The sequence below is a fragment of the Homo sapiens genome, chromosome 4, assembly GCF_000001405.40.
Source record: "Homo sapiens chromosome 4, GRCh38.p14 Primary Assembly".
NCBI classification, from domain to species: domain Eukaryota; kingdom Metazoa; phylum Chordata; class Mammalia; order Primates; family Hominidae; genus Homo; species Homo sapiens.
This window is the reverse complement of record NC_000004.12, coordinates 106376356-106387330: the sequence shown is the minus strand read 5'-3', so window position 1 is coordinate 106387330 and position 10975 is coordinate 106376356. Positions and strand designations below refer to the sequence as shown.

General features: G+C 38.9%; 1 annotated feature.

Annotated features, from left to right (window-relative positions):
- Positions 661–1195: an enhancer, noted in NCBI's record as "H3K27ac-H3K4me1 hESC enhancer chr4:107307293-107307827 (GRCh37/hg19 assembly coordinates)". NCBI's record gives its function as "activates a minimal SCP1, AML or CMV promoter by ChIP-STARR-seq in naive H9 embryonic stem cells {active_cell/tissue: H9 hESC(naive)}" and the evidence as "EXISTENCE:reporter gene assay evidence [ECO:0000049][PMID:30033119]".

Below are 10975 nucleotides of genomic sequence, written 5' to 3'. Positions count from 1 at the left end.
AGGGGACGATTCGTGATTGAGCTTAGCCAGTCATAAAGCTCCAGTTCCCCTCTGGCATATGCTCGCGTTCTCAGATCCCATTGCAGTAGGAGTGTGTATGCAAACCAATTCTGACAATTAAAATGTAAAGATTAAGTCTTCCTGAGGTTCTTGTTAAGATTTTGCTTCATGAATAAGATGAAGGCAAGAAGGCAAAACTTCTTTAGAAGAAAAGAAGTGCCCTTTTTGTGCCTAACTTCCTACAAGTACATTTGTGTGACCTGGGGCTATGAGAGACACATTATAACCTGCCAGTAATAAGCCACAGTAGGAGAACCAACACAGTGGGTGGCTGTGGGGATGAAAAGTGAAAAAAGAAATGACATCTTTGATGATGTCACTGAGCTACTGAATCAGCCCTGGATTTCTGTAATTCAGAATTCTTCAAATACAATATAATTAAATATATTCAATGCTTAAGCCACTGTTGGTTGAGGTTTTTTGGGGGGAGGGGGTTGTTGTTATTTGCATATTTTTTGCAATGAATCAAAAAGGCTTTGTGGATCATTTATTTATCTGTATGAAAGCTTTACAAAAACACCTAAAAGCATTATCTAACACTATTTTTCTTACGGCCAATGGGATGGTGTGCTATACAGTTTGTTTACCCTCCAGATCGTCTGTCCCTTTTATTACATTCAAAGGCTGACCTTTATGGGCCTTCTCAATGGACTCCCTTGGCCTCAAGCCTCAAGTTTGTTTCCATCAATTAAAGTCACCAGCAAGAAAGCAGAGGGTGGGGAGAGTAAGAATAGGGTATCTATTCCCTTCCCTCCCTTCCTTGTGTATCATTGTGGATTAGAATTTTCTTCATCCTTCTGCTGAAAGCCAAAGTCCTGACCCTCAGAGTTCTAATGACCACTTTCTTCCTTAATCTCTCCAAGGAGATAGCTTCTGGCTTTTGCTAGTCCCTGGATACTGTTGCAGGATCACTGGGGTGTTGCTTTTCTGGCCAGAAACCTGTGGCCAGTGGCACCTTAGCCCAGGTTTTGCTTGGGCCTGCAGGGCTTGTTCTGCCTAGTCAAACCTGGCAGGCTGTGCTTAGCTCATGCTACTGGCCTTGATCCCACACCTCCAAGGGAGGCTGCAAGTCAGGCGTGGAGTGGCAAATGGTGTGTAAGCGGGTGTGGGGTCTGGCCACAGCACAGTCAGACACACCAGCCCCCTGCCACCTTGGCCCCCTCCAGAGTATGAAGGGCAGAGCCAAGGGAAGGCTGAGAGCAGCTCGGCACTGGCCTTCAGGTGCCCCTTTGTGCAAGCAGCCTGGGTGCCATGGATGGCAGCAGGAGGCAGACAGGCTCCTGGACGGAAGGGGACAGGTCCACAGTGAGGCTCCAACTTCAGGCCAGGGAAGGCCTGAAGGCTGGGGGCCAGGCTGCCAGTTCCATGTACCACAGTGGGAACGTGTGGTGCCTTTTACAGGTTGGCCCATAGCCGCCAATGGACCAATTGGTGTGCACTTTCTGCCCTCTGAGGCCCATAAAAGCCCTGGGCTCAGCCAGAGCAGAGCAGAGGATGGAGAAACAACAGGATGACCAGCTGCAGAGATAATGGGATGACCTGCCTGCAAAGAGGAGCCACCCACTCTAGGGATTCCTTTCTGCGGAGAGTTGCAGGTGACGGAATGACCAGCTACAAAGACAGCAACCCTCTCTGCTAATAGCTGAACACTTGTTGGGATAACCAGCTGCAGAGAGGAGCTACCCTCTCTGCTAGGAGCCAAACACTCATTGGGACACCCTGGCTACAGAGAGGAGCTACCCACTGTGGGTCTTCTCTGAGCTGTTCTATTCCTCAGTAAAGCTCCTCTTTGTCTGGCTCACTCTCGACTTGTCTGTGTACCTCATTCTTCCTGGTCACAGGACAAGAACTCAGGACCCACCAAATGACAAAGCTAAAAGAGCTGTAAGACAAACAGAGCTGAAACATGTCCCTTGCTCACCATGTTGTGGGTGAAGAGATGGAGAAAAGAGCTGCAGCCCTTTGGGGACCCCAGGCCTGGGAGCTCCCCAAGCCAGGGCTGTGATGCCCTCTTTGGGACCCTGCAGTTCCTGGCATCTCAAAGCTTCCAGTCACCACTGCATTTCCCAGTGCCAGCTGGGGAAGCTGCTTGCAGTGCATCTGCTCCAGCTGCAGCCTTGCAGAGAGCTGGCACCCATGCCGGCATCTGGAGCTGCCCACCCTGTGGCATCAGACAGTGTGTCTGACTGTGCGGTGGCCAGACCCCATGCTTGCTCACACACCCCTTGCCACTCCACACCTGACTCACAGCCTCCCTTGGAGGCATAGGATCCAGGCTGGTACCATAAGCTGAGCACAGCCTGCCTAGCCAAGTGGGCAGAACAAGCCCAGTGGGCTCAAGCAAAACTTGGGCAAAGGCGCCATCAGCTACAGGTTTCCAGCCAGAAAAGTGACACCCCAAGGATCCTGCAACATTTTGCTAGGCCCAAGATACCAAACCATTACTTGTAGGTTTCTCTTATCTCTGTCCACAGCTTTATAAATAACCCCTTTATTAGCTCTCCTCAGTTACCTAATTTGAGTATGTCATTTGTTTCTTGCTGCAATTCTGACCTAATCAGGTAGAAAGAACATGAGATTTTTCATATAAAGAACAAAGGTACAAATACAAACTTACTGACTAAATGAACTGAGACAAGTTCCATACTGATCTCTTATAAATGGGACAGTGCAGAAATATTCACTCCAGAGGGTTATTGTGAAGATTAAATATGAAGTACCATGACACATCCTGGCACATAATAGATGCCTAATAAACGCAAGTTCCTTTTCCATGCCCTCCACTCGAACTCTTTCTCTGAATTATTGAATAAGAGAATCAGTTTATTCCAAACGTACAATTTTACATAGAAGAGCTAAGACCTACCCATAATTTTTTTTTTTTTTTGAGATGGAGTTTCACTCTTGTTGCCCAGGCTCGAGTGCAATGGTGTGATCTCAGCTCACTGCAACCTCTGCCTCCTGGGTTCAGACGATTCTCCTGCCTTAGCCTCCCGAGTAGCTGGGATTACAGGCACGTACCACCACACCCAGCTAATTTTTTTGTATTTTTAGTAGAGATGGGGTTTCACCATGTTGTTCAGGCTGGTCTCGAACTCCTGACCTCAGGTGATCTACCCACCTCAGCCTCCTGAAGTGCTGGGATTATAGGCGTGAGCCACCACGCCCGGCCCTCTTAATGTAATATTAAAAAATAAAGCAATGGTTTATGTACCTCTCCTGTCTCCTTACCATGGCCATTGCAAACATCAATAACTGATTGTGGCACTTCTCACTGAGCTCTGATGTGATCTCAGAATCTTTTTCCAAAAGGCCTTCTAAAATGTCATTTTTCCCTCTCCACTTCCTCTAAAATGTTTGTTTCCAGTCATTTTAAGAATATCAAAGTTCCAAACCAGATTGTGAGTGCTTAACATAACAGACAAGAGCCCACGTTCTAGAATTATCTCTGACCTTCTACAGCAGCTAAGATTTGGAGCATGGTTTTTGAGTGGCTCCAAAAACATTCAGTACATTCATCTCCTGGCATCATTCTACCATCTTGGGTGCCACTCGAAAATAAAAAAATGAAGAAACAAAACAAGAAGCCTGAGAAATTCTTTTTCACAGAGAGCAGGTTAAATGATCCATTCCTATTTCTAGATTACAGGATAAGAGATGAAGACACAGTGGAAGATCATCTATCTACATTCTATTACATTGAAGAATGGATTATCTGCACATATCATATAGGTTTAACGTTGTTGTTTAACGTTAATAAGAACTTATTAGCTGGTTGGTAGTATTAATTTACAGGAAAAATTTTCACAGCAGAGTTTTTATTTAAAGAGAAATTTAAAGCATCTCTCTGATATTAAGGGCTGCCTGCAGCAATGAAGCATTGCTGTATTGTAACCATTCCACTCATTGCATTATTCTTTGTAATATACAGGTAACATATCTATGGAAACTAAATTCTCAGTTTCCACAAGTGGACCCTACAAAGGAAAGAAAACTGAAGAGATATTGTTGTGGATAATAATATTGTTTATTCAGCTTGCATATTATCCAGTATAATGAAAAAATGTTAAAACTTTGATGTATCATGTAGAACTACAAAAATATATCTCCTAGTCTAAATGACAAGCATGTTTGGCAAGCATGTATGTGTGTTTGTGTGTGCGTCTTAGTATATGTGCTAATTTCCCCTCAAGAAATATTATGAAGCATTATATGTATGGGTTTGTAGTATATTCAGCAGAATATTTTATAGCATTTATAAACATTCATGTATAAAGACATTGTGCTAAGTGCTTTACATAATAAACTAATTCAACTCTCATAATGTAGTACAATAAAATATATATTGCTACTATTTCCATTTTATACATGGGAATCAAGGTCCAAAAATGTTATGTGAATTACCCAAGGTTCTAAGTTTGACAGTGGCAGAATAGCTCTAAAATATGGGCTTCTATTCTAAAGTCAATGCTATTAAAAAATTCACTGGCTGGGCGCAGTGGCTCATGCCTGTAATCCCAGTGCTTTGGGAGGCCAAGGTGGACGGATCACCTGAGGTCAGGAGTTCGAGAACAGCCTGGTCAACATAGTGAAACCCCATCTCTACTGAAAAAAAAAATACAAAAATTAGCTGGGCATGGTGATGCACACCTGTAATTCCAACTACTCAGGAGGCTGAGGCAAGAGAATTGCTTGAACCCAGGTGGCGGAGGTTGGCAGTGAGCCGAGATCATGCCACTGCACTCCAGCCTCGGCAACAGAGTGAGACTCCATCTCTATTAAAAAAAAAAATTCACTACACTCTCTCATGAATGCACCATGCCTTATAATATTCTCTAAAGCAAATCAATAAATACTCATTGCATGTAGTAAAAAGAATGTTTAAGAGCACATTTATTTCAGGTAATGAATGACTCAGTATATCCAAGGACACAATGAACAGGGATTGACTAACAGTGAAATGGATGGGAAAAGAAAGCATGGGAATTAATTTGTAATATTTCCATTTATTTAACAAACATTTATTGTCCCCTCCTACTAGGTGTTAGGCACTGGGCTTAATAATAGGAGTACAAAAACCCATAATATGCCAGCCTTGCCTTCAAAGGGCTTAAAGTCAAACAGAGAGATGAGGATGTGTAAATATGCTATTCCAGAGGAAATGATAAAAATCTCACCAAGCACAGTAAGAGCACACTAAAACGTACTTGTCCTTAAGACATCAAGGAGAGAGTTGGGAGGGCCGTGAGACAGGCTCCACTGAGGAGGTGACTATAACTACAGTTTAGTACTGAAGCAAGTAAAAAAAATAACTAATTTTTTTCTGAAGCTTACCTTTTTATTGAAAACAGATTTGTTGACATATAATTTACATATCATTAAATTCACACTTTTTAAGTACACAATTCCATGGTTTTTAGTATATTAATTGTGCTATGCAATCATCACCACTATTCAATTTTAGAATATTTTCATCATTCTAAAAGAAACCCTAAGATCATTGATAGTCACCCTCATTTTCTTGATCCCCCTCCCACAACCTCCTAGAAATTACTAGTCTACTTTCTCTCTGTGGATTTGCTTATCCTGGACATTTCATATGAATGGAATCCTACAATATGTGGCCTTTGTGACTAGCTTATTTCACTTAGCATAATGTTTTCAAGGTTCATCCATGTTGTAGCATGTATCAATATTTCATGAGCTTTTATTGACTAATAGTATTCCATTGCATAAATACACCACATTTTATTATTCGTCCGTTAATTAGTTGATGGGCATTTGGAATCCTTCTACTTTTTGGCTACCATATATAATGTTTCTGTAAACATTGATGTATAAGTTTTTGTGTAGACATGTGTTTTAATTTCTCTTGAATATACATTTAAGAGTGGAATTTCTAAATTGTATGGTAACCCTAAGTTTATTTGACATTTTAAATTTATTTTTATGCATACATTATAGTTGTATCCGTAAAATATTTATGGATATGTGTGATATTATGATACAAGCATACAATGTGTAACGATCAAATCAGGGTAATTGGGATATCCATCACCTCAAGCATTTATTGTTTCTTTGTGTTAAGGACCATTCCAATTCCACTCTTTTAGTTATTTTGAAATATACAGTACATTACGGTTAACTATAGTCACCCTGTGTGTTACCGAACATTAGATCTTATTCTTTCTATCTAACTGTATTTTTGTACTCATTAACCAACCCCTTTTTATCCCCCCTCTCCCCTACCTTTCCAAACCTCTGGTAACCATCATTCTACTCTGTATTTCTGTAAGTCCAATTTTTTTTAGCTCCCACATATGAGTGAGAACATGCAATATTTGTTTTTTTATGCCTGGCTTATTTTATTTAACATAATGTCCTCCAGTTCCATCCATGTTGTTACAAATGACAGGATTTCATTCTTTTTATGAGTGAATAATATTCCATTATTTATATTACCACATTTTAAAAATCATTTATCCATTGATGGACACTTAGTTTGATTCCATATCTTAGCTATTGCGAATAGTGCTGCAATAAACATGGGAATGCAGATATCTCCTTGATATACTTATTTTCTTTATTTTAGATATATTTTCAGCACTGGGATTGCTGGATCATATGATAGTTCTATTTTTAGTTTTTTGAGGAACCTTTTCAAATAACTAAATTCTCATTAACAGTATATGAGGGTTATATTCTCATTAACAGTATATGAGGGTTCCTCTTTCTCCACATTCTTGCCAGCTGAAGAGACAACCCACAGAATGGGGGAAAATATTTGTAAACTACACATCTGACAAAGGGTTAGTATCCACAACATATAAGGAACTCAAACAACTCAATAGCAAAAAAAGCAAACAATCCAATTTAAAAATGGACAAAAGAGCTGAACAGACATTTTTCAGAAGACATACATATGGCCAACAGATATATAAAACATGCTCAACATAACTAACCATCAGAAAAATGCAAATCAAAACTAGAATAAGATATCATCTCACCCTGGTTCAAATAGCTTTTATCAAAAAGACAAGCCTAGCTTTAAAGTTTTGAGAAACTGCCAAACTGATAGCCAAAGTGGCTGTACCACCAGCAATTATTAGGATTCCAATTCTTTCATATCCCCAATAATGGTTGTTACTGTCTGTCTTTTCTATTTTTATTTTAGCCATCTTGGTTGATGTGAAGTGGTACCTCATTTTGGATTTGATTTGCATTTCTCTAATGATTAACAATCTCAAGCATCTTTTAGTGTATTTATTGGTCATTTGCATAACATCTTTGGAGAAAAAAACTATTCAAATTATTTGCCTATTGTTCAATTCAGTTGCATTTTTATTATTAAGTTGTAAGAGTTCCTTATGTATAGTTATGTGCCACTTAATGACAAGGATACATTCTGAGAAATGCGTTGTTAGGTGATTTTGTAATTGTGTGAACATTAGAGTGTACTTACACAAATCTAGGTGGTATAACCTATTGTTCCTAGACTATAAACCTGTACAGCATTTTACTGTAATGAATACTATAGTCAGTTGTAACACAGAAATATTTTTGTATCTAAACATGGAAATGATACGGTACAAATATGAAATTATAATCTTATGCAGCTATGTTCATATTGGTCTATCACTGACCAAAGCATTGTTATATGGCACGTGACTGTATTCTAAAGTTTCTTATCAGGTATATGAGTTGCAAGTGTTTTCTCCCATTCTGCCATTCTGTGGGTTGATATTTCACTTTCTTAATGATGTTCCTCAAACCATGAAAGTTTTTAATTTTTGTAATGTCCAATTTATCTATTTTTTCCATGTCACTTATACTTTTAGTGTTATATCTATAAAAACAATTGCATAAGCCAAAATAATAACAGCTTACTTCTATGTTTTCTTCTAAGAGTTAAATAGTTTTAGCTCTTTCATTTAAGTCTATGAACCACATTCAGTTAATTTTTGTATATTGTGTGAGGTAGGACCTGTCACAGTGATGGAATCTGCAGGCCAGTGGAAGTTTGTTAGCTGGTTTCCCATGCTGCGGGCAAAGAGCATACTAAATCCCCGTGGAGGTAAGTGCCTCCTTGATTCATTTTGCCAACATTCACTCTACTCCTGATATGAGCCAGGGACTAGTGGAGGGTTTAATCACTACTGTAGCCTGGCTGTCTGCTATGTCTGACAGCTGACCTTTCAGACACAACGTATCTTCATTTTCTACATGCAATATCCAGTTGTCCCAACACCATTTGTTGGAAAGACTATTCTTTCCCTTGTCTAATTGTCTTGGCATCCTGTAGAAAATCAGTTTAACCTAAATATAAGAATTTATTTCTAGACTGTCAGCTCTGTCCCATATTTTTATATGCCTATCCTTATGCCATAAATATTTTTGAGTCTTAAAAGACGAATGGATATTTGCTAGGCAGAAAAGGGTTCAGGTAAGGTGTGAGTGGGAGACAGAGGGCATTCTAGATGGAGACAGTGGCATGAGTAGAGATGTGAAGGGGAACATGATGACCACACTGGGGAAGAACAGGAATTGGGATTTAGCTAGAGCATTAACAGCTATGACACACAGTAGGTGGTGGAGAGAGAGGGCAAAGTCTACAACTAAGGAGTTTGACTATTACTGTACAGAAACGTGAGCTTGTGAAGACTTTTACACATGATCGTATTTGACTCTACAAAGGTCTCTCTAGCAGCAGTGTGAAGAATGAATTGGAGGACCATAAGGAAGGCAGAAAGGCCATTTCAGAAATTAAGTCCTCATGTTCAAGCAAACAATCAGAAGAACATAAAGTAAGGCAGTAGCAATGGGGCCGGAGAAGAGGGATAGATGCATGTGACAGATGTTTACAGGGAAAAATCAGTAATGATTTCTTCACCAGTTGGATGAATTATGTCTAGGGAAAGGGAATAATTAAACATGACTTCCAGGTTTCTACTGAAGAGGGTTACTCACCAAGCTAGAGAAAACAAGAGGAAGAATAGGTTTGAGCAAAACCCAATAATTTCAATTTGGGATACCTTGGATATTCCCAAGTACTTTCTATGTGTCAAGCACTACAGAAAACTGTTTTACATACAGTATTTTATTTAATTTATACGCATTATGCCACTAGTCCTGCAAGGTTTCATTGAATCTCTTTTACAGAAGAGGGAAATAAGTCTGAGGAAAGATACAAAATTTAACCATTTCATATTGGTAGTTTGTAGTAGTTTTAAAATATCTCTATATATTTAAAGTAACTATCATGATTGTGTCTCATTACAGAAGGTTATTATAGGGGAAATACACTATGTGTAAACTCAAAACAGAAAAACTAACCCATGCTTTGTATTCCTCTCAGTTGGAGTTACTTTAATTCTTAGCACTGTCAGTAAAGACACATACAAATAAATAGATTGGAATGGGATGCAGATTGAAAATCTACCTTATTGTAAAGATTAATTTAAATCCAACTGATGTATATGAAATATCTGCTACAGTGAGACATTTTATAGAACATATTTGTATAAATTACTTGCCTTAGCCCTTAAAACAACCATCTAAAATGTGTCATTTCTTGTTTTGTAAAGAAGTAACCTACGCTAGGATAACTTCCTGATTTTTAACCCAGTTCTTTCTACTTATTTTGTTTCTAAATATTATACCTTGGCATAGAAATACACATTCAACAATTATTTGTTTGAGTGAGTATAACTTTTCTTATAGGTGATAATAAATAAAAGAAATAGCAATTGAGACTTCTGATTTTATAACAATGATCTTGAACCATGGTGTATCCAAATTCTGACTCTTTGGGTAATTCCTGCATTATAAAACACATGTGAGATTTAAAGAAATACACCAATAAATCCTGAAAATTTTTAATTGCATTATAATTATTTTATCAAACCTTTGAATTCTGAAAAGCAAGTGATGTACACAACACATGGTAGTCATCTAATAATGTTTTAAATTTATTAATTAATTTTATTTGGGCCTGACTTGAATAAGCTATAGATCTTCTTTAATATCTACAGAGCTGGCATAAATTTTAATAAATACATTTTTGTAATGTTTTACTTTTGTAAATCAAGTTGTTTTAAAAATTTTTTTTTTGAGACGGAGTCTTGCCCTGTTGCCTATGTTGGGGTGCAATGGTGCCATCTTGGCTCACTGCAACCCCTGCCTCCCGGGTTCAAATGATCCTTCTGTCTCAGCCTCCCGAGTAGCTGGGATTACAGGCCCCCACTGCCATACGCAGCTAATTTTTGTATTTGTAGTAGAGACAGGGTTTCACCATGTTGGCCAGGCTGGTCTCAAACTCCTGACCTTGTGATCTGCCCGCCTTGGCCTCCCAAAGTGCTGGGCTTACAGGTGTGAGCCACCATACCTGGCCAAAAAATAATCTTTATCTTAAATAATAGTGACATTTATTTAATTTATCTTTAATGCACATAAGGAACAAGCATAGGAGAAAATACATACTTTTATATATGCTTTTATACTATATGTTGTAAATATATATTATGTAAATATATGATCTCTTATTGTCACTTGAGGTTGTGGTGTCATCTGTGTATTTATTTAGCACAACATCTCTAAATGTTATTCTTTATCCTATTGTTATATTGTAAATTTGGGCACACCACAGAATTTAGAAATTGATAACTGGCTTAGCCCTTAAAATATTGGCCAAGCACGGTGGCTCACGCCTGTAATCCCAGCACTTTGGGAGGCTGAGGTGGGCGGATTCGAGATCAGTCTGGCCAACATGGTGAAATTCCGTCTCTACTAAAAATACAAAAAAATTAGCCTGGTGTGGTGGCATGTGCCTGTAATCCCAGCTACTGGTGAGGCGAAGTCAGGGAAATTGCTTGATTCAGGGAAGTGGTGGTTGCAGTGGGCCAAGATTGCGCCACTG